This window comes from Homo sapiens, chromosome 14 (assembly GCF_000001405.40).
Source record: "Homo sapiens chromosome 14, GRCh38.p14 Primary Assembly".
Classification (NCBI taxonomy): Eukaryota; Metazoa; Chordata; class Mammalia; order Primates; family Hominidae; genus Homo; species Homo sapiens.
The window spans coordinates 71070427-71095079 of NC_000014.9; the positions used below are offsets into that span (position 1 = coordinate 71070427).

The following is a 24653-nucleotide window of genomic DNA, read 5'->3' on the forward strand; positions in this document are numbered from 1 at the left end:
TGGCAGCTATAGCCTTACAAAATTTATTTCTTAAGTAATAAGACTTGACAGTTGCAGTTATTTCTTGATGTACAGACTGCAGAACGGATGTTGTCTTAGCAGGCAACACTAATGTCTTGTACATTTCCATCAGAGTTCTTGGGTGATCAGGTGCATTGTCAATGAGTAGTAATATTTGGAAAGGAATCCTTTTTTTGGAGCAGAAGGTCTGAACAGTAGGCTTAAAATATCCAGTAAACCATGCTATAAACAGATGTGCTGTCATCCAGTCTTTGTTATTCCATTTATAGTGCACAGTTAGAGGAAATTTAGCATAATTCTTAAAGGTTCTAGCATTTTTGAAATGGTAAATGAGCATTTCAACTTAAACTTAGCAGCTCCGTTAGACCCTATCAAAGAGAGTCAGCCTGTCCTTTGAAGATTTGAAGCCAGGCATTGACTCCTCTCTAGCTGTGAAAGTCCTAGATGGCATCTTCTTTCCGTGTAAGGATGTTTAGTCTATTTTGAAAATCTGTTGTTGTAGTGTAGCCACCTTCATCAGTGATCTTAGCTAGATCTTCTGGATAATTTGCTGCAGCTTTAACGTCAGCACTTGCAGCTTCACCTTGCAGTTTTATGTTATGAAGACAGCTTCTTTCCTTAAACCTCATGACCCAATCTCTACTAGCTTCCAACTTTTCTTCTGCAGCTTGCTTGCTTCTCAGCCTTCAAAGAATTGTAGAGAGTTAGAGCTTTGCTCTGGATCAGGCTTTGGCTTAAGGGAATGTTATAGTTGGTTTGATCTTCTCTCCAGACCACTCAAACATTCTCCATATCAGCAATAAGGCTTTTTTGCTTTCTTATCTTTTGTTTGTTCACTGGAGTAGCACTTTTAATTTTCTTCAAGAATGTTTCCTTTGCATTCACAACTTGGCTATTTGGTGCATGAGGCCTAACTTTTGGCCCATCCTGGTGATACGGTTTGGATTTGTGTCCCTGCCCAAATCTCATGTTGAATTGTAATACCCAGTGTTGGAGGAGGGGTTTGGTGGGATGTGATTAGATCATGGGGGTAGATTTTCCCCTTGCTGTTCTCATGATAGTGAGTCCTCATGTGATCTGGTTGTTCAAAAGTGTATAGCGCCTCCCCCTTAACCCTATTCCTTCTGCTCCAGCATGTAAAATGTGCTTGCTTCTCCTTCACCTTACACCGTGATTATGTTTCCTGAGGCCTACCCAGCCACACTTCCTGTACAGTCTGCAGAACTGTGAGCCAGTTAAACCTCTTTTCATTACAAATTACCCTGTCTCAGGTAGTTCTTTACAGCAACACAAGAATGGACTAATGCATTTGGCTTTTGACATGCCTTCCTCACTAAGCTTCCTTATTTCTAGCATTTGATTTGAAGTGAGACATGCAACTGTTTCTTTACTTAAACACTTAGAGGCCATTGTAGTGTTATAAATTGCCCAAATTTCAATATTGCTATGTCTTAGGGAATGGGAAGGCCTGAAAAGAGGGAGAGGTAGGGGAATGGCTGGTCAGTGGAGCAGTCAGAGTTCATACACCATTTGTCAATTTAAGTTTGCCATCTTATATGGGCATAAATTGTGGTACTCCAAAGTACTTAGAACACTAACATTAAAGATCACTGATCACAAATCACCATTATAGATACAACAGTAATGAAATGTTTGAAATATTGAGAGAATTACCAAAATGTGATCCAGAGACAGGAAGTGAGCACATGCTGTTGGAAAAATGGTACCAATAGATTTGCTTGACACAAGGTTGTCAAAAACCTTCAATTTGTAGATATCACAGTGCCTTCAAAGAGCAGTAAAGCAAAGTACAATAAAACAAGGTATGCCTGTATATTTTTAGGCAGTATCATATAAAATGGTCACCCACAGCATGTATTCCTATCAGTGTCAGGTTCAAGTCAAGGGTTTTTCTTGTCAACACTATGTAACATTATTATGGAAGTGTTGGTGACAGTTATTAAACAAGAAAATGAATTAATGGAATTATTGAGGGCTATAGAGTGCTAAAGAGCACTCTGTAGCTGTGCTAAACAGCACAGCTCCTTAGCTTGGCTATAAAAACCTTTTTAGCCTTATCTTTCATCGTACCACCACCACCATCAGCTGGGACTAGGTGTCATGGTATCAGTTTCTCTCAAAGCAGTGGTTTTCAGACATGGATGGTGTATGTATTAATATTACTTTTAAAGAAAAAAAATTATTGTGCAGCCTGATTTCTGTACAGTTAAGTATGATTACTTTATAGTCTTTACATAATATAAGGAATTTACAAATTGAGTTGAAACAAGACCACAGAACAAAATAAAAATTAACATTAGTGTAACAGATGGTATTTTGCTGGCACTAGATTGCTATGGGTCTCATTCTATATTTAATCTGTTTTTGTATTTTTACTTCAATAACATTCCACTGGTTTTTGTATTTCTAAAATTAACTCAGACCTTCAGGAGATGTGCCTTTACTCTTTGGTCCTTCATTTGATACAAACACAATTGTAAACCCATTTGAAACATTTAGAAATCAGTAAGTCAAAATTAAAGTTACTTTACCACACGAATTATCAGACCCGTAGTGTGAGTGCGGTGGCTCATGCCTGTAATCTCAGCACTTTGGAAGCCTGAGGCAGGCAGATCGCAAGGTCTGGAGTTCAAGACCAACATGGTGAAACCCCGTCTCTACTAAAAATACAAAAATTAGCTGGGCCTGGTGGCGCATGCCTGTAATACCAGCTCCTCTGGAGGCTAAGGCAGGAAATTACTTGAACCGGGACCCAGGAGGCAGAGGTTGCAGTGGGCTGAGATCACGCCACTGCACTCCAGCCTGGGCTACAGAGGGAGACTCTGTCTCAAAACAAACAAAAAAAGCGTAGTGTGCTAATGCTAATGCACATTGTGTTTTTGCAGGATATGAATATAGAATATGCGTGATTTCTGGAGTTTGCTACAATTTGTTAATGAATATTCTAAGGCAAATCCATCACATACTTTCAATTGCAATAAAATATGTATTTTTTTCTAAATCTTATGTGTCCTTGCATTCATTTTTCCCACTTTCTGGTTTTCCCCCTTTGTAAAGCTCTCTCTCTCTCTCTAAGGTACCTACTGTCAACAACGGGAAGTGGAGGCCATTACTGAAGGTGTAGAGGAAGATGAAGGATTTTGCTGTTGTGAACCTGGCCATATTCCTCACATGCTTTCATTTAATGCTGCATTTAGCCAGCGATGGCTAGCTTGGGAAGTGATAGTCACAAAGTACATTCTGGAGGGTTATAGCATCACTGATAACAGTGCTGCTTCTATGCTTCAAGTCTTTGATCTTCGGAAAGTACTCACCACTTACTATGTCAAGGTAGGAGTATGTGCCTACTTAGATCTTTAGATAATCAGAGTTTCTTCTTGGGAATGACATATATAAGTATATATATATGTATATACTTTTTTTTAACGTATGCTTTGCTTCCAAGTACTTATTTAAATTCTCTAGGATCCAGAATACTCCATAAAAATAAGCCTACTAACGTCTTGCCTTCTCTTTGTTTACTGGAATTCATTCTATTCATTCATTAATAATAATAGCTAGACATTTGTAGCTTGTGTTTTAGCTTGTGCTAAGGAATATGTACACACAAATACGCATACACACGTGTATCTTACTTAATACTGTAAAGAAGTATTTCCCTATTTTACAAATAAACAACTTAAGGATCAGAAGTTAACTTGTCCAAGATCCTCTAACAAGTAGAGTTTGGGGCTTAAAAGCCAGGCTTGTCTGACTCTTGAGCCCTTGCCCTTGACCACTGCTTTGCACTGCTTTCATTCAACAAACTGAATAAAAGTATTGCAAAATTCAAGAGGTCCCTAAGACCACCCTCACTTCTGACATCAGCTGTAATTTTGGGGTCCCCAAGACCACTCATAGGGTAAGTTGCTAGAAACACCCACGGAACTCAGCAAAGTTGTCATACCCACATTACACTCATGTTACTACAGTAGAAGGACACAGATTAAAATCAGCCAAAGGAAGAGGTACATAGGATATTGTCCAGAGACACCGAATCAAGGAGCTTCCAGTTGTCCTCTCACAGTAGAGTTGTGCAGATGCCTGTTTTTCCCAGCAGTGAAGCATGGCTGTACTCACGGGCTGTTGTCCACCAAGGAAGCTTGCTCGAGCTTGGTGTCCTGTCACGTAGGCATGGTTGACCATCCACATGGCCAGCGTAAGTCTCCAGGACGTCCAGAGGTCATGCTGATACTGTGTGGCTCTAGGTCTCCAGCTGAACAAAGACTCTTTAACGGGAAGGGCATCCCAAGGCTTAGCGGTTACCCCCTAGAACCCAAGGGTAAAGGCCAAACCCCTCGTTGGGCAAGGTTAATCCTTTACTGCACAAGATACTCTTATTTTTGCTAAAGAGTTTACAGAAATACAGTATGGTTGTCACTTAGGGGCTTCCAGGTGAAGCCAGTATTTTTAAGAAGGAAATGTGTGCTAAGCTTTAATAACCAACATCTGAATTTTTCACATCGTTTTTTCTTTTCTTCTCTTTTTTTTTTTTTTTTTTTTTTGAGACAGGGTTTCATTCTGTTGCCCAGGCTGGACTACAGTGGCATGATCGTAGCTCACTGCAGCCTTGACCTCCAGGGCTCAAGCAATACACCCACGTTAACCTCCTGAGTAACTGGGACTACAGGTGCATGCCACCACACCCAGCTAATTTTTTATTTTTTTGTAGAGATGAGGTTTCACTGTGTTGCCCAGGCTCTCAAACTCTGGGCTCAAGCAGTTCTCCCACACTGGCCTCCCAAAGTGCTGGGGTTATAGGTGTGAGCCGCCATCCCCAGCCTGAAATTTTCATATCTTGTGTTGTTACCTCTCCTCACGACCTTATTTGCTGATTGGGATGAACGCTGAGCCTTCCATTTTATGTTTGGCTTAACCTAACCTCAGGAAGCTAGAGATTGATTTCACAATATTTTTTACTTGTATGTGCGTGTGGCATTTTCTATCTCTAGTTCTAAATATATATCTCTATAACTTGGCCTAGGACCACCAGATGGCCTTAATAACTCTCTATGAGAAATTATTCAAAATAAATGCAGCACAGTAAAGTTTTTTTTACCTCTTTTGAAATATCCTAAGTTCAAAATCTGTAAAATCCATAGATTAGGGCCAGGCGCAGTGGCTGATACCTGCAATCCCAGCACTTTGGGAGGCCGAGGCGGATGGACCACTTGAGGTCAGGAGTTCAAGACCAACCTGGCCAAAATGGTGAAAACCCATCTCTACTAAAAATACAAAAATTTATCTGGGTGTGGTGGCGGGCACCTGTAGTCCCAGCTGAGGCATGAGAGTTGCTTGAACCCAGGAGATAGAGGTTGCAGTGAGCCGAGATTATGCCATCGCACTCTAGCATGGGCGACAGAGTAAGACTCTGTCTCTAAATAAATAAATAATAAAATAAAATAAATAGAATTGTTTTGAAGTTGCTTTGTTGAATTTATGGTTGTGATTTTAAAGTATTAGATGTTTTTTCATCCAGTAAGGCCTGAGGTATATTATTATAGTATTCTTAAAATATATATGTAGAATATTGAGGGGGAATAAAATACTTTTTAGTCAGACTAAAAAGTGTTTTACTATTTATCATTATAAATAATTGGAATTTATTTCATTGAGTAATCTGAGTTAATTGAAATTGTAATTTAATCTGAATTCTTTTTTTTTTGTCTTGTTCATGTTAGGGTATCATTTATTATGTTACGACCTCGTCTAAGCTAGAGGAGTGGCTAGCTAATGAGACAATGCAGGAAGGACTTCGTCTGTGTGCTGATCGCAATTATGTCGATGTGGACCCGACCTTTAATCCAAACATTGATGAAGACTATGACCACCGACTGGCAGGCATATCTAGGGAGAGTTTCTGTGTGATTTACCTCAACTGGATAGAGTACTGCTCTTCCCGAAGAGCAAAGGTAGAGTTTATTTCATTTATAACTCTTTGAATCCAGGTTTTTCCAAAGATGCAAAGAATGTCCCTGTTAGTTCTTATGAGGTCAGTTTTTCAAGACCTTCCTCTTTCTGATCTTCTGGTTAAGATAACCTAACTGGTTCATTATGGTTGGGCCAAACCAGCTCTGCCAAAACAGGTTAAAGGAAGTGGCCTCCCTCTTTCTTTCATTTGCAGTGTCCCAGTCTCACTGTCCAGGTAGCACCTCCTTCATCCTGGGCATGTACAGGCATGCACATACATTCACATTCCATGCATTACCCTCCAAAATCTAGTCCTTAAGAAATTCTACCTCTGTCTGCCACACTTAAGGATAATTAAATGTCTTTGTCCCAAATAGAAAGTCTAGACCAGTGCTGGCTAATGGACTTTCTGCAGTGTTGGAAATATGCTGTCACTGCCACATGTGGCTGTGAAACACATGAAATGTGGCTAGTACAACTGAAAAGCCGAATTGTAAATTTTATTTAATTTTAACTGATTTAAATTTAGGAGCCCATATAGCTAGTGACTACCATATTAGACAGTGTGCATCTAGACCATTGATTTTCAAATGTTAATATGAGTAAAAAAGACATAGGAACTTGTAAAAATGCAGATTCCTGGGCCCCACCTGCAAGACTCTGATCTAGGTCTAGGCTGGGGATCACCCTAGGTGATTTTAATTCTGGTGGCTCCCAATCCACACATTAGGATAACATGTCTTATCCTAAAAGTAAGATGAGTTAGGGACTTCAGCAACTACAGCTTTCTTCTAGGTCTCATGATTTTTGTGGTAGTATCACACCCCTGATCAGACTCCATGTAACAGAATTGCAGTGCCAAGGCCTGTGATTACAAAGCTAATTCCTACCACCACTGCTGCTTTTTAAGCAAAAGCCTTGTGTAGTTGAACCACCAGTGTCGTATGTACAGATGTACCTGCTATCATGGAGCAGTGTGAGCTACCTTGACAACTGGTGCCTTCGTCATGGTCTAGGAGGTGCATACCGACCATCTTCACGTTTAGCACTTGGTTTAGTCCTTCCTTTGCCACCACTTAGAGTAAGACAGCCATCATATCAGCCTCTTTTTACTCCATCAATAAGAACAGGAGCATCTTGTACTTCCTTTCTGAGCAGTGGCCTTTGAGCTTTTATACTAGATGTGCAGTATATACTGAGCAGAGTAGTATATCTTAAAAGAAGGGATAGTGAGTTGGATAAAATAACCTCACAAAAGGTTCAGAAGACCAGCAGACAGTGGCTAGAAGTAGAGGACCTCAAAGCTAAACTTCTTTCTTCCAAACATATAATAAATAGTTTTATTTTTTCATAAATAAAATACACTTAAAATACTTCGCGTACTGTTCTCAAATCCTTGAACTGACTTTTGTTGGGGAGAGTAATGGGAACAGTCATGTTATTCTATATCTCTTCTTTGGCTTAGATGATATTGGCTATTTTGTTATGAGTTAATCATGATGTTTTGGGCTAGGAGTTCACAGTCTACCCACTCAGGAACAGGGTTCCATCCTACCTTAAGGACCTTTCTCTTAGAGATTATTGCTGAAGTCATGAACATGGCTCAAGGAAGTCCTCCTGATTGGTAATAAATCATATATTCAAAAGGTTTACCTCTAAACTTGGGTATCCCCAGTCTCATCAGGTAGCTTATTTCACTAATCCTGGTCTGTTTTGTTTTCTACTCTTACAATCTGTTTAGAAAAAAATTATCAGTTGTATTTTTCCAGCTATATAGTCTTCCCATCTGCTCTAGTTTCTCTTTTAAGTTGAACAAGATTATCTTCATCTCCTTAAGATCTTGCATGCTATTCCCTGAATCAACATTCCCAGAATAACCTTTTCCTGGGGACATTAATCAGGCCAGACTTGCTGACTCCAAACTGTAGTGCCCTCATCTGAATGTTTAAAAGCTGCCTCAGACCCTTCTTCCATAGTTTCCTTTCAAGATAGTGTAAGATTGATCCTGAACTAACTGCATTAAAATTACCTTCAATGGGAAAATGAAAAGATTCATCTCAGCTTCTTTCTCCTACTTTTCAAACGATAAGTATTTCTTTCACTTTGTTGTTAGTATTAGCAAGAATTCTTGGTGAGAATTTCTAATGCAATTTAGGGACTAGGGCACACGCCTTCTCCACCAGTAACAAAATAGTGCTACCAGGCTTGAACTAATTTTTTTCTTTCAGCAAATTAAAGATGTTGCTATACTGTCTTCTGGCTTGCATTGTTTCTGATGAGAAGTCTGCTGTCATTCTTTTCTTTGTTCCTCTGAAAAAAATGGTAGGTACAATATAATATCTTTTTTCACTGGCTGCTTTTAAGATTTTCTCTTTATTACTGGTTTTAAGCAATTTAAATATGATGTGCCTTAGTGTAGTTTTCTCATGTTTCTTTTTTAATTATTATTATACTTTAAGTTCTGGGATACATGTGCAGAACATGCAGGTTTGTGGCATGGGTATACACATGCCATGGTGGCTTGCTGTACCCATCAACCTGTCATCTACATTAGGTATTTCTCCTAAGCTATGCCTCCCATAGCCCCCTACACCCCGACAGGCCCCGGTGTGTGATGTTCCCCTCCCTGTGTCCATGTGTTCTCATTGTTCAACTCCCACTTATGAGTGAGAACATCCAGTGTTTGGTTTTCTGTCCCTGTGTTAGTTTGCTAAGAATGATGCTTTCCAGCTTCATCCATGTCCCTGCAAAGGACATGAACTCATCCTTTTTTATGGCTGCATAGTATTCCATGTTGTATATGTGTCACATTTTATCTAGTCTATCACTGATGGGCATTTGGATTGGTTCCAAGTCTTTGCTATTGTGAACAGTGCTGCAATAAATATACATGTGCATGTGTCTTTATAGTAGAATGATTTATAATCCTTTGTGTGTATACCCAAAATGGGATTGCTGGGTCAAATGGCATTTCTGGTTCTAGATCCTTGGGGAATCGCCACTCTATCTTCCACAATGGTTGAACTAATTTACACTCCTACCAACAGTGTAAAAGCATTCCTATTTCTTCACATCCTCTCCAGCACCTGACTTTTTAATGATCGCCTGACTTTGTAACTTTTTTTTGTTTCCTGACTTTTTAATGATCGCCATTCTAACGGGAGTGAGATGGTATCTCATTGTGGTTTTGATTTGCATTTCTCTAATGACCATTGATGATGAACTTTTTTTCATATGTTTGTTAGCCACATAAATGTCTTCTTTTGAGAAGTGTCTGTTCATATCCTTGACCTACTTTTGGATCGGGTTTTTTTTTCTTGTAAATTTAAATTCCTTGTAGATTCTGGATATTAGCCCTTTGTCAGATGGGTAGATTGCAGAAATTTTCTCCCATTCTGTAGGTTGCCTGTTCACTCTGATAATAGTTTCTTTTGCTGTACAGAAGCTTTTTAGTTTAATTAGATCCCATTTGTCAATTTTGGCTTTTGTTGCCATTGCTTTTGGTGTTTTAGTCATGAAGTCTTTGCCTATGCCTATGTCCTGAATGGTATTGCCTAGGTTTTCTTCTAGAGTTTTTATGGATTTAGGTCTTACATTTAAGTCTTTAATCCGTCTTGAGTTAATTTTTGTATAAGGTGTAAGGAAGGGGTCCAGTTTCAGTTTTCTGCATATGGGTAGCCAGTTTTCCCAGCACCATTTATTAAATAGGGAATCCTTTCCCCATTGTCTTGTTTTTGTCAGGTTTGTCAAAGATCAGATGGTTGTAGATGAGTGGCATTATTTCTGAGGCCTCTGTTCTGTTCCATTGATCTATATATCTGTTTTGGTGCCAGTACCATGCTGTTTTGATTACTGTAGCCTTGCAGTAGAGTTTGAAGTTAGGTAATGTGATGCCTCCAGCTTTATTCTTTTTGCTTAGGATTGTCTTGGCTATGCGGGCTCTTTTTTGATTCTATAGGAAATTTAAAGTAGTTTTTTCTAATTCTTAGAAGCAAGTCTGTGGTAGCTTGATGGGGATAGCATTGAATCTGTAAATTACTTTGGGTAGTATGGCCATTTTCACAATATTGATTCTTCCTATCCATGAGCATGGAATGTTTTTCCATTTGTTTGTGTCCTCTCTTATTTCCTTGAGCAGTGGTTTGTAGTTCTCCTTGAAGAGGTCGTTCACATCCTTGTAAGCTGTATTCCTAGGTATTTTATTCTCTTTGTAGCAATTGTGAATGGAAGTTCACTCATGATTTGGCCCTCTGTCTGTTATTGCTGTATAGGAATGCTTGTGATTTTTGCACATTGATTTTGTATCTTGAGACTTTGCTGAAGTTGCCTATCAGCTTAAGGAGATTTTGGGCTGAGACAGTGGGGTTTTCTAAATATACAGTCATGTCATCTGGAAACAGAGACAATTTGACTTCCTCTCTTCCTATTTAAATACCCTTTATTTCTTTCTCTTGGCTGATTGCCCTGTCTAGAACTTCCAATACTGTGTTGAGTAGGAGTGGTGAGAGAGGGCATCCTTGTCTTGTGCCGGTTTTCAAAGGGAATGCTTCCAGTTTTTGCTCATTCAGTATGATATTAGCTGTGGGTTTGTCATAAATAGCTCTTATTATTTTGAGATAGGTTCCATCAGTACCTAGTTTATGGAGAGTTTTTAGCATGAAGGGCTGTTGAATTTTATTGAAGGCCTTTTCTGCATCTATTGAGATAATCATGTGGTTTTTGTCATTGGTTCTGTTTATGTGATGGATTACGTTTATTGATTTGCATATGTTGAACCAGCCTTGCATCCCAGGGATGAAGCCAACTTGATTATGGTGGATAAGCTTTTTGATGTGCTGCTGGATTCTGTCTGCCAGTATCTTATTGAGGATTTTCTCATTGATGTTCATCATGTATATTGGCCTGAAATTTTCTGTTTTTGTTGTGTCTCTGCCAGGTTTTGGTATCAAGATGATGCTGGTCTCATAAAATGATTAGGGAGGAGTCCCTCTTTTTCTGTTGTTTGGAATAGTTTCAGAAGGAATGGTACCAGCTCTTCTTCGTACCTCTGGTAGAATTCAGCTGTCAGTCCGTCTGATCCCGGGCTTTTTTTGGTTGGTAGGCTATTAATTACTGCCTCAATTTCAGAACTTGTTATTGATCTATTCAGGGATTCGACTTCTTCTTGGTTTATACTTGGGAGGGTGTGTGTGTCCAGAAATCTATCCATTTCTTCTAGACCTAGTTTATTTGCGTAGAGGTGTTTATAGTATTCTCTGATGGTAGTTTGTATTTCTGTGGGATCAGTGGTGATATCCCCTTTATCATTTTTACTGTGTCTATTTGATTCTTCTCTCTTTTCTTCTTTATTAATCTAACTAGCAGTCTATTTGTTGATCTTTTCAAAAAACCAGCTCCTGGATTCATTTTTTGAAGGGTTTTGTTGTATCTCTATCTCCTTCAGTTCTGCTCTGATCTTAGTTATTTCTTGTCTTCTGCTACCTTTTGAATTTGTTTGCTCTTGCTTTTCTAGTTCTTTTAATTGCGATGTTAGGGTGTTGATTTTAGATCTTTCCCACTTTTTTTCTGTGGGCATTTAGTGCTATAAATTTCTCTCTAAACACTGTTTTAGCTGTGTCTCAGAGATTCTGGTATGTTGTGTCTTTGTTCTCATTGGTTTCAAAGCACTTATTTATTTCTGCCTTGATTTCATTATTTACCCAATAGTCATTCAGGGGCAGGTTTTTCAGTTTCCGTGTTGTTGTGCGGTTTTGAGTGATTTTCTTAATCCTGAGTTCTAATTTGATTGCACTGTGGTCTGAGAGACCGTTTGTTTTGATATCTGTTCTCTTGCATTTGCTGAGGAGTGTTTTACTTCCAATTATGTGGTCAGTTTTAGAATAAGTGCAATGTGGTGCTGAGAAGAATGTATATTCTGTTGATTTGGGGTGGAGAGTTCTGTAGACATCTATTAGGTCTGCTTGGTCCAGAGCGGAGTTCAAGTCCTGAATATCCTTGTTAATTTTCTATCTCGCTGATCTAATATTGACAGTGGGGTGTTAAAATCTCCCACTATGATTGTGTGGGAGTCTGAGTCTGTTTGTAGGTCTCTAAGGACTTGCTTCATGAATCTGGGTGCTCCTGTATTGGGTGTATATATATTTAGGATAGTTGGCTCTTCTCGCTACATTGATCCCTTTACCGTAGCTTTTCTTTGTCTTTTTTGATCTTTGTTGGTTTAAAGTCTGTTTTATCAGAGACTAGGATTGCAACCCCTGCTTTTTTTTTGCTTTCCATTCACTTGGTAAATATTCCTCCATCCCTTTATTTTGAGCCTATGTGTGTCTTTGCACATGAGATGGATCTCCTGAATACAGCACACCGATGAGTCTTGGCTCTATCCAGTTTGCCAGTGTGTGTCTTTTAATTGGGGCATTTAGCCTGCTTACATTTAAGGTTAATATTGTTATATGTGAATTTGATCCTATCATTATGATGTTAGCTGGTTATTTTGCCCATTAGTTGATGCAGTTTCTTCATAGTGTCAGTGGTCTTTACAATTTGGTAAATTTATAGTACCAGTGGCTGGTACTGGTTTTTCCTTTCCATATTTAGTGCTTCCTTCAGGAGCTCTTGTAAGGGAGGCATGGTGGTGACAAAAATCTCTCAGCATTTGCTTGTCTGTAAAGGATTTTATTACTCCTTAGCTTATGAAGCTTAGTTTGGCTGGATATGCAATTCTGGGTTGAAAATTCTTTTCTTTAAGAATGTTGAATACTGGCCCTCACTCTCTTCTGGCTTGTGCGGTTTCTGCAGAGAGATCTGCTGTTAGTCTGATGGGCTTCCCTTTGTGGGTAATCCGACCTTTCTCTCTGGCTGCCCTTAACATTTTTTCCTTCATTTCAACCTTGGTGAATCTGACGATTATGTGTCTTGGGGTTGCTCTTCTTAAGGAGTACCTTTGTGGTGTTCTCTGTATTTCCTGAATCTGAATGTTGGCCTGTCTTGCTAGGCTGGGGAAGTTCTAGGTAATAATCCTGAAGAATGTTTCCAAGTTGATTCCATTCTCTGCATCACTTTCAGGTACACCAATCAAATGTAGGTTTGGTCTTTTCACATAGTCCCATATTTCTTGGAGGCTTTGTTCGTTCCTTTTCATTCTTTTTTCTCTCATCTTGTCTTCATGCTTTATTTCATTAAGTTGATCTTCAATCTCTGATATCCTTTCTCCTGCTTGATCGATTTGGCTATTGATACTTTTGTATGCTTCACAAAGTTCTCATGCTGTTTTTCAGCTCCATCAGGTCATTTATGTTCTTCTCTAAACTGGTTATTCTAGTTAGCAATTCCTCTGACCTTTTTTCAAGGTTCTTAGCTTCCTTGCATTGGGTTAGAACATGCTCCGTTAGCTTGGAGGAGTTTGTTATTACCCATGTTCTGAAGCCTACTTCTGTCAATTTGTCAAACTCATTCTCCATCCAGTTTTGTTCCCTTGCTGGCGAGGAGTTGTGATCCTTTGGAGGAGAAAAGGCATTCTGGTTTTTGGAATTTTCGGCCTTTTTGCACTGGTTTTTCCTCATCTTCGTGGATTTATCTACCTTTGGTCTTTGATGCTGGTGACCTTCAGATGGGGTTTCTGTGTGGACATCCTTTTGGTTGATGATGATGCTATTCCTTTCTGTTTGTTAGTTTTCCTTCTAACAGGCCCCTCTGCTGCAGGTCTGCTGGAATTTGCTGGAGGTCCACTTCAGACCTTGTTTGCCTGGGTATCACCAGTGGAGGCTGCAGAACAGCAAAGATTGCTGCCTGTTCCTTTCTCTGGAAGCTTCGTCCCAGAGGGGCACCCGGCAGGTGCCAGTCAGAGCTCTCCTGTATGAGGTGTCTGTCGACCCCTGCCCGGGAGGCGTCTCCCAGTCAGGATGCACAGGGGTCAGGGACCCACTTGAGGAGGCAGTCTGTCCCTTAGCAGAGCTCAAGTGCTGTGCTGGGAGATCCGCTGCTCTCTTCAGAGCCAGCAGGCAGCAACATTTAAGTCTGCTGAAGCTGTGCCCACAGCCACCCCTTCCCCCAGGTGCTCTGTCCCAGGGAGATGGGAGTTTTATCTATAAGCCGCTGACTGGGGCTGCTGCCTTTCAGAGATGCCCTGCCCAGAGAGGAGGAATCCAGAGAGGCAGTCTGGCTACAGTGGCTTTGCTGAGCTGTGGTGGGCTCTGCCTGGTTCAAACTTCCTGGCAGCTTTGCTTACACTGTGAGGGGAAAACCGCCTACTGAAGCCTCAGTAATGGCAGATGCCCCTTCCCCCACCAAGCTTGAGCATCCCAGGTCAACTTCAGACTGCTGTGCTGGCAGCAAGAATTTCAAGCCAGTAGATCTTAGCTTGCTGGGCTCCGTAGGGGTGGGATCCACTGAGCTAGACCACTTGGCTCCCTGGCTTCAGCCCCCTTTCCAGGGGAGTGAACAGTTCTGTCTCGCTGGCATTCCAGGCGCCACTGGGGTATGAAAACTCTGGCAGTTAGCTCGGTGTCTGCCCAAATGGCTGCCCAGTTTTGTGCTTGAAACCCAGGGCCCTGGTGGTATAGGCACGCGAGGGAATCTCTTGGTCTGTGGGTTGTGAAGACCGTGGGAAAAGCATAGTATCTGGGCCAGAATGCACTGTTCCTCACGGCACGGTCCATCACAGCTTCCCTTGGCTAGGGGAGCAAGTTCCCCGACCTCTTGTGCTTCCCAAGTGAGGCAACGCCCCACCCTGCTTCGGCTTGCCCTCTGTGGGCTGCACCTACTGTCTAACCAGTCCCAATGCGATGAGCCGGGTACTTCAGTTGGAAATGCAGAAATCACCTGCTTTCTGCCTTGATGTTGCTGGGAGCTGTAGACCGGAGCTGTTCATGTTCGGCCATCTTGCCAGCCACCTGTTTCTTGTTCTTGAAGTTCATTGAGATTCTTCAATCTGTAAGTACATAATTTTTTTCAGATTTGGAAACTTTTCATGATTTAAAAAAATCTATTAAAGACATGCTTTATTAATACAAACACAAACTATAAAGGACTAAGAAATATAAATATCTGTGTCATAAGCAAACATTCAGGATCGACAGAATGATCAAAGGAGACTGCATCAAATTGGATTCCTATGGTGGAGGGGGGACCCCAGCTGTAACAGCTTTTCCAGTTCTCTCTCCCATCCAGAACCATGAGAGGCACGCCATTCGAGGGGAGGTATGCAATCTGATGCTCCTCAGACAGGTCAAAATTCTCAAAGTCTATAGGATTAAAAAGTCTATAGGATTAAAAGGGGAGCATTTTTCTACTTTTGGATAGGTGTCATCGAGGCAGGAATAAAGGTGGTTTTAGCTTTAACAGTCTTCTCAGTCATAAGGCCCAGACCCCAGCTTCAGCCCATCCTTAGGAGCCACACAGGTGCCTGGTTCTCTGTTTTCCTTATCAATAAGGATCAGAGTAGTTATTCTGGATTACTCCAAGACTCTCCTTCCACCATTATTAAAAATAGTTTTTTCTGTTTTCCTCTACGCCTTTTGCAGGAACTCCAATTATATTTGTATTAGGCTGCTTGATTGTCCTACAGCTCCCTGACGCCCTGTTCATTTATTTTCAGTCTTTTTTCTCTCTGTATTTCATTTTGCATAGTTTCTCTTGCTAAGTTTTTGAGATCATTTATCTTTTCTTCTGAATTAATATACCAGTAATCCCATTCAGTATATTTTTTATCTCAGACATTGCTTCATTTTGTGTCTCTAGAAGTTTGATTTGGGTCTTTTCTACAAATCTTCCATGTCTCATTCAACATGCTCAGTCATTCCTCTGCCTTCTTGAGCTTATGGAATATAGTTAAAATAGTTGTTTTAATATCCTTGTGGGTTAAGCCTAACATCAATGTCAGTTGTGGGTCAGTTTTGATTGAGTGGTTAATTGATTGTTATTATGGGTCCTATTTTCCTGCTACTTGCATGCCTGTCAATTTTTTATTAGATGCCAGTCTTTATGAATTTTACTCTGAAGGGTGCTGGATATTTCTGTATTCCTGTAAATAATTCTTGAACTTTGTTTTGTGACACAGTTAAATTCTTTGGGGACAGTTTGATCCTTTCAGGGCTTGCTTTGGAGGGACCAGAGCAGCTGTTAGTCTGGGGCTAATTCTTCCCCATGACCAAGACAATGCCATCCTGAGTGTTCTAGCCAGTCCCAAGGTTTTTCGCTGTTCCTTTGTATTCCATTCGGATGATTCTTTTCTCAGCCTAGGGTCCTCTTTGCGTGTGTGCTGTTGCCGTAGATCTCCGAGTTCCCTCGCCTCCCTCTCTCAGTAGCTCTCTCTAGCACTCTGCCCTGTGAGCTCCAGCTGGCTCAGAGGCCTCTGTCTCAATTTGTGCTCCCCTTTCTTGTGCTGTGGTCTGGAAACTCTCTAGGTAATAAGCTCAGTCAGTTGTAGGGCTACCTCATTTGTTTCCTGTCTCTCAGGGACCGGTGTCCAGTGTCTAAAAACTGTTGTGTCATGTATTCTGCCCAGTCTTTGGCTGTTTCAGCTAGGGGGGTAAATATGGTCTCTATTGAATCATCTTGGCTGAGGTAAATCTGAATTAAAAAAAAAAATTTCTCATCACAGAAACAATACATTTTTAGTCTAGAAAGTTGACAGGGGAAGGGAGGTAGAGAAAAAGAAAAAAAGAATGAAGATCACCCGTCATTTTATCACCCGTTGTAACTACCTTTAGTATTTTTTCTTTATACAACTTCAAGTCTACACCCACTCTCTTTTATTTTTCTTTTGTATTTCTTTAAACTAGTGCTCTCATACTCTTTATTTACTGTTTTGTAACCTGGACCCAAATTTTTTTTCAAAATGCCTACTTGATGAAACTAGAGTACGTGCTGTAAGAGGTAATATGTCTTTAGAAACAATCTAATTGGCAAGCAACTAGGATATCTCTAACACAGTCGCCATTAACTAAATTATCAAGTTAATGATAATTAACCTATCAATAGTAAGTTAATATCTTAGACTGTTCCCCTATTGTATTTATAAGTTAATGGTTTATAAAGCCAAAAATAAATACCATTGGCAAAGTTAGAATAATTAAGCTAATTATTAGCCTGTATCATTGATTCTTCACCTTTAGCATGTATTAGAATCACCTGGAGAGTGATTGCTTGACCCCACCTCCAGAATTTGATTTCAGAGATCTGGAGTGGCCAGAGATTTGCATTTCTAACAAGTTTCCAGGTGATGTTGATACTGCTGGTCTTAGGACTATACTTTGAGAAGCACTGCCCTGGATTATTTTTTGGTAACTGAGATGCTACCAAGATTTTCTTTAGTATTATATAAGGTAATCAGTGATTATTATTTGGGCTTTCTTAGAGGGAGAAACAGAGGAGACTTAGCAGCTTCTTTCAATTGTAAGGCATGTAATTGTTAAAAAATAAAAAGGTTGAGGGGAAACAATATTTTATGAATATCAACTTGATTTTCACTATGTTTATAGTCACTAATAGGCTAACTCACCTGCCACTGATAGCCTGCTTGTCAAGTTATGGTCAAAAATAAGTAGTTAATAAAAAAAAAAGAAAGAAGTAGCTAATAGATAGAAATATTGTATTTTCAAGAGAGGGTAATATCAGTAATCTCAGTAAGTACTTTAAAATCTTTAGCTAAAATCCTAATATTTTATAATAGAGTCAGTTTTTTTTGTTTTATTTTGTTCCGTTATTATGAAATTTTAGATTTTATTTAAGGATTCCAAAGAAACTCCCCATACACATTCATGCTTCATTTCATACAGTTTTATTAAGTTTATTTTGAGGAGATAGAAATTATGTACTCTTTGAATTCTTTATCATTTCGCTATATTATTTCGATTTATGATTTGTTAAATACTTACATACCTTTCTGATAACTAATGTTTTTTGTTTTTTTAAAGCCTGTGGATGTGGACAAAGATTCATCCCTAGTGACTCTCTGTTATGGACTCTGTGTTCTGGGACGGAGAGCTTTGGGGACTGCATCCCATCATATGTCCAGGTAAAGAAGGCATTTCTGTTCTGAGGAAGAGAGCATGGGAAGCTGTATAGCCTAAATCTAAAATGATTTTTCATGGACGCATGTATTCTATGCTAATTTATTGTAAAGTCTTTTTAGGTTTTATATTTCTATACATCATCTTCTTGAACATAGGTGAGCTGTCTTAACTGGTTAACAGAACTGGTTTTTAAAATTCACACGTGTGGGTAGCCACTGATAATGAGAATATAATGAATTTAAGACATTTTAAAATACAACCACCCCATGAATTTTGATTGGCCTCCTCCTGTTTACATCTATTTTTCTAATAAATTCATTTTCCATATTTCCTTGCAGTCTTTGTCCAGGGTATTTATACTTCTAATATAGTAATATATTAGATTCGGGGATTCTAAATCTAAACTGAATTTCCTAACATATACATCCAAATGAATCAGAATTAAGAAATACCACATATTTTAAATTTTTTTCTGTGATAACTACATGTTTTCCGTTAAGCTTTTCTTAGTTTATTTTAACTTATAGGCTCTTTGCCTGTTGTTTATTTTCATGGACTCACTATTACAGTGGTTTATAAATAAGGGTCCCAGGTCGGACAGGCCCTGTCTCTTGTGATTCTGGTTCAGGGTTCTGACATTAGTTCCTGGAATCTGTATTTTCAAAACACTCCCAGGTGATTCTGATGCACACGCAGATGTAAGAATCAGTGTCATGGAAGACCTTTGTCAAAACATGTGAACTTTTATCTCCAATCTTAACAGTAATTTAGAGTCATTCCTCTATGGATTGCATGCCCTATTTAAAGGAGATTTCCGTATTTCTTCAATTCGAGATGAATGGATCTTTGCTGACATGGAATTGCTAAGAAAAGTAGTAGTCCCTGGGATCCGTATGTCCATTAAACTTCATCAGGTAAGAAGATGAGATTTTTCTAATTCATTACTGGTGTTTACTGATCCTTCTTCACATGATTTCAATATTAGTCCATTCTCACGCTGCTGTAAGGAATACCCGAGACTGGGTAATTTATAAAGGAAAGAGGTTTAATTGACTCACAGTTCCACAGGGGTGGGGAGGCCTCAGGAAACTTACAGTCATGGCGGAAGGGGAGGCAAACACATCCTTCTTCATATGGTGGCAACAAGGAGAAGTGCCAAGCAAAAGGGGGAGAACCCCTTATAAAGCCATCAGATCTCATGAGAACTCACTCGCTATCATGAGAACAGCAGCATGGGGGTAACTGCTCTCATGATTCAATTACCTCCCACCAGTTCCCTTCCAGGACACGTGGGGATTATGGGAACTATAATTCAAGATGAGATTTGGGTGAGGACACAACCACACCATATGAGCTTCCAAGTTATGTTTCTTAGGAACCTTTTGAGAAATATTCTGATCTGAATAAAAGAAAAATGTGACTTCATGACAAGATATATTAAATCTTTAAAACCTGAACCTATGTTTCTAATAGTAAATTTGAATATTAACATTAGAGAGTGACTGATACAGGCATGAAATGTGAAGAAAAAGAAAAATTATTTACAAGCTGTAAGTAAAGGTCCATGGCCCCCATAATACTTATTTTGACTTCATATTATTGCAATTCCTGCCTATTCCCTGTATGAATATTAGCCAACTCTAAATATAGTGTGGTAACACTTCAGGAATGTTACAAGTGCTGCTGTTACTGAATGATGAATTTCATTCCATGTGTTACATAGAATAATAGGTGGTTAGGACAGACTTAGGCTTAGCTAAATATCTTAGTAGGGTAATAACATTAAAGTGAGGCCCCACAATGCATTTCTAAAGCCCTAGATGATTGCAAGAATATATTGTGAAATTAAGTACTGGCACTTGTTCCTCCATTCCACTGGACAGTAGTTATCAGATCTGATGATAGAGACCCTGTGATAAGACTCATTAAAGTGTATCTGCAGTGCTCAAATCTAATTGAATCTTTTGCCCCCAAATAAAAGGTGACTTACTCTTCAAGTCATTATAGTATAATCTAAAGTGTGGGAATTAAGTTAAAAACCTCACATTCTTTAGGAACATGACTAATAAAGGACACATTATTTGAAAATCTCTGTGAAAAATGGAATACTATTTGAGGATGTTGCCCTGGGGAAATATTAATTTGGGATCAAATAGAATTGTCCATCTTCAGACTAGTTTTAGAGTTTTGAGACAAAATTCAGTGCATTTCAAAAAAAGGTAATTCTTCAGATTAAAATGTTTTTAAAACTTAGACATTTCTGGAAAGGTACCAACTATGTATCTGCTTTATAAGAAATATTCTCTTTCATATAGCATAATTTTCTAATAGCTTCTGACAAACTTCTTCAATTAATTCTAAATGTTATCACAGATATTTTATCTCAGCTTGTCCGAGATGAAACTGAGCACAGAATTAAAGCCTCTGATGCCTTGGGTGCCTGCCCCTAGTCTCTCCTTACAGGACTCTCTTGCCTGTTGCTGCCAGGTCTCTTTCCTTAAATATTCCTTTGGCTGTGGCATTATTGCCGATATCAGTGATTCTTTACTTTATATTCTGGCCCAACACACTTGGATATAGCACACTCCCATCATTAGCCTGGACTGACAACATTTATAAACAGGGAGGTGAGAATGTAGAATTGGAACCAAGAAGCCATGGAGGGCTGAGGGGAGGAGAGGAAGTGGAGAATGTAATGCAACCTGGAGAAGTTCCTTAATTCTGATATACCTTCTAGGAGGGTGGAGATTGACCTATAAAGTCACAAACAACAGCCATATATTGATCGTCACTTTGAGCAAGACATTAGGTTGTCTATGAGGATCTCTCAGGCAGGAAAATCTAGGTGTGTAAATCAGTACTCACCATTGCCAAAGTTCATGTGCTCATGAAAATCCATAAAAGTGGACAATAGGCTTATATACTAAAAGAAAGGATATATGCATCTACCTTACAACCCAACAATTCTACTTCTAGATGTTTATACAACAGAATTAAAGTACAATTGATTCTTGAACAACACAGGTTTGAACTGCATAGCTACATTTATACACAGATTTTCTCAGTAAATGTATTGGAAACTTTTTTGGAAATTTGCAACAATTTGAAAAAGATGAACTAGAAAGCCTAGAAATACCAATAAAATAAGACAAACTTAGGTATGTCATGAATGCATAAAATATACATAGATACTAGTTTATTTTATTATTTGCTACCATAAAACACACAGAAATCTATTATAAAAAGTTAAAATTTATCAAAACTTACAAAAACACAGACTATACATGGCAACATCTGCAGTTGAAAGAAATGTAAACAAACAAAGATGCAGTATTAAATCATAACTACATAAAGTCAACTGTGGTACATATTAATATTATATACTACAGTAATTTCGTAGTCACCTTCTGTTGCTATTGCAGTGAGCTCAAATGTTGGGAGTATGCTTAAAACGCCGTGTGGCACTAATCATCTCTGTGTGAGCAGTTCGCCTTTCCAGTAAATTGTGTATTTCAATAAAAAGTGATCTGTTGCAGTTCTTGTGTATTTCTCATTGTGTTTAGTGCAGTACCATAAACCTTAAATAACACCATGGGACCCATACAAAGTGCCACTAGTGATGCTGAAAGGGCCCCACGAAACAGAGAAAAGTCATGACATTAAAAGGAAAGGTTGAGTTGCTTGATATGTGCCGTAGATTGAGGTTTGCAACTGTGGTTGCCCACCATTCCGAGATAAGTGAATCCATCTTAAGGACAAGTGTGGAAAAAAAGAAAATTCGTGAAGCTTCCACTGTTACTACACCAGCAGGTGGAAAACCTTGCGCATTTTACAAAATACCTTTTCATCTCATGTTGAAAATAATAGCTTTTATGTTGGATGCAGGATTGCTGTAAGAAAGGCATACCTATGAACACTAATGTTATTCAAGAAAAAGCGACATCATTATATGGCAGCTTAAAGCATAAGGAAGGTGAAGGACCTAAAGCTGGAGAATTTAATGCCAGCAAAGGATGGCTTGATAATTTTAGAAAGAGCTTTGGCTTTAAAAATGTCAAGATAACAGGAGAAGCAGCTTCTGCCAACCAAAAGGCAGCAGACAAGTTCCCAGATGCCATTAAGAAAATCATTGAGGAAAAAGGTTATCTGCCTGAACAGATCTTTAATGCAGGTGAAAGTGCTCTATTCTGCAGCGGGGGTTGGGGGTGGGGAAGCCACAAAGGACATTTTTTTAGTAAGGAAGAGCACCAAGCACCAAAATTTAAGGCAGGGATGGGTAAGCTAAGTTTACTGTTTTGTGCAAATGCAGAGAGGGGTTTATGATCGGGACTGTCTTTACCTATAAAGCCGCTGACCCCTAAGCCTTGAGGGGAAAAGATAAACACCAACTGCTATTTTGATTGTACAACAAGAAGGCCTAGACAAAGAGAACTCTTCCTGGTTTGGTTCCACCAATGCTTTGTCCCTGAAGTCAGGAAGTACCTTGCCAGTAAAGGACCTTCTTTTAAAGTTCTTTTGATATTGGACAATGCCTGTGGCCACCCAGAACCTCATGAGTTCAACACTGAAGGCATGGAGGTGGTCTGCTTGCCTCCAGATAACATCTCTAATTCAGCCTCCAGATCAGGGTACGATAAAGACCTTTAAGACTCATTATACATGGTACTCAATGGAAAGGATTGTCAGTGCTATGGAAGAGAACCCTGATAGAACATCATGAAAGTCTAGAAAGATTACACCATTGAAGATGCCCTTGTTGTTACAGAAAAAGCCATGAAAGCCATCAAATACAAAATAATAAATTTCTGCTGGAGAAAACTCCAGATGTTGCACATGACTTCACAGGATTTATGACAGAGCTAATCAAGGAAATCATGAGATTGTGGATATGGCAAAAAAAAAAAAAGGGTGATGAAGGATTACAAGGTGTGGCTCTTGGACAAATTCAAGAGGTATTAAGCACCACACTAGAAGTATTAACAGAAGATAACTTGATGGAGATGAGTGCTTCCAAACCAGCGCCACATGATGAGGAAGACAAGGAAGCAGTGCCAGAAAACAAGTTGACTTTACACAGTCTGGCAGAGTGATTGGGATTATTCAAGACTGATTTTGACTTCTTTTACAGTATGGACCCTTCTGTGATATGGGCACTAAAACTAAAGCATAAGGTAGAAGAAGAATTGGTACTATATGGAAACATTCTTAAAGAAATGAAAAAGGAAAAATGTCAGAAAAGTACAATGTTTTTTGGTAAAGTTAAACCAAGTGTGCCTGCTTCTCTTCCCTCTCCTTCCACCTCCTCCACCTCTGAGACTGCAAGACCAACCCCTCCTCTTCCTCCTTCTCAGCCTGTTCCAAATGTGAGATGACAAAGATGAAGACCTTTATGATGATCCACTTCTACTTAATGAACAGTAAATATATTTTCTCTTCCTTATGATTTTCTTAATATTTTCTTTTCTCTAGCTTACATTATTATAAGAATACAGTATATAATATGTATAAAATACAAAATATGTGTTAATTGACTATGTTATTAGTAAGGCTTCTAGTCAACAGTAAGGTATTTGTATTTAACATTTTTGGGGGAGTCAAAGGTTATTCATGGATTTTAGAGTGCATAGGGATAGGCACCCCAACCCCTGCATTATTCCAGGGTCAACTCTATATGTCTACATAAAGACTTAAACACAAATGTTTACAGTGTTTTTATTGATAATAACCTCCAACTGGAAACTACTCAAATGTCCGTTAGCAGACAGGCATACAAATTATGGTATATCCACACAACAGAATATTACTCAGCAATAAAAAGAAACTGATAACAAACAGTAGATCAGTGGTTACTTGAAGTTTAGAGAGTAAATGCCAGAGGCAGGAAGGAACTTTTTGAGGTGATGGAAATGCTCTATATCTAGATTGCAGTAGTGGTTACCTGGGTATGCACATTTGTCAAGATGCATCTAACTGTACACTTAAAATGGGTGCATTTTGTTGTAAATCATATTTCAAACTTGACTTTTAAGAAGATTCTGTTTCCAGAGAGCTGAAAATATAAAATTTCTATTAACCTTTGCCTTTCAGACATAGTCTTTGATGATGTACTTTTAGTACTTCATAGGTGTTTTTGAACTTTTTTCTTTATAGTTCTTTCCCCACCCCCTCCAACCTTATGGATTACATGTGCTTACTTTTTGGTAATTAAAACTGTTACGTTGGACGTGATGCCTCACGCCTGTAATCCCAGCACCGTTGGGAGGCCAAGGTGGGAGGATCTCTAGAGTCCAGGAGTTTGAGACCTGCCTGGTCAACATAGTAGGACTGCATCTCTGCGAAAAAGAAACAGAAATATTAGCCAGGCAAGGTATCGCATGCCTTTAGTCCCAGCTACTTGGGAAGCTGAGACGGGGGATCATTTGAGTCCAAGAGTTTGAGGTTACAGTGAGCTATGATTGCATCACTGCACTCCAGCCTGAGCGACAGACCAAGACCTTGTCTCTAAAAAAAACCCCAATAAGAAACTGTTATGATCTGTGCAGTATTTACTATTGCATATTGTCCTACATGTACACAGTACTTTCATATGCATTAGATCACCACGACCCAGAAAGTTATTTTAATCCCAATTTTGTAGAAGATTAACCAAAA

The 24653-nt window shown here is 39.2% G+C and overlaps 1 protein-coding gene and 1 pseudogene across 23 annotated transcripts in view, besides 1 other annotated feature; one reads left to right on the forward strand and one right to left on the reverse strand.

Annotated features, from left to right (window-relative positions):
- The window catches only part of PCNX1 (pecanex 1), a 207924-nt gene that overhangs the window by 162968 nt on the left and 20303 nt on the right, over positions 1 to 24653 (forward strand). For all 23 annotated transcript variants that reach the window (XM_005267420.5, NM_014982.3, XM_005267422.5 and 20 more), the window contains 4 exons: positions 3119 to 3372; positions 5763 to 5993; positions 17904 to 18004; positions 18766 to 18916. In XM_005267420.5, the coding sequence (XP_005267477.1) occupies positions 3119 to 3372; positions 5763 to 5993; positions 17904 to 18004; positions 18766 to 18916 (737 nt within the window). The remainder of the gene's footprint in view (positions 1 to 3118; positions 3373 to 5762; positions 5994 to 17903; positions 18005 to 18765; positions 18917 to 24653) is intronic.
- Positions 5577 to 6776: an enhancer, noted in NCBI's record as "MED14-independent group 3 enhancer chr14:71542720-71543919 (GRCh37/hg19 assembly coordinates)". NCBI's record gives its function as "activates an origin of replication core promoter dependent on BRD2, BRD4, P300/CBP and CDK7 cofactors, and independent of MED14, by STARR-seq in HCT116 cells {active_cell/tissue: HCT116}" and the evidence as "EXISTENCE:reporter gene assay evidence [ECO:0000049][PMID:35650434]".
- Positions 14971 to 15450, reverse strand: PTTG1P1 (PTTG1 pseudogene 1; annotated as a pseudogene).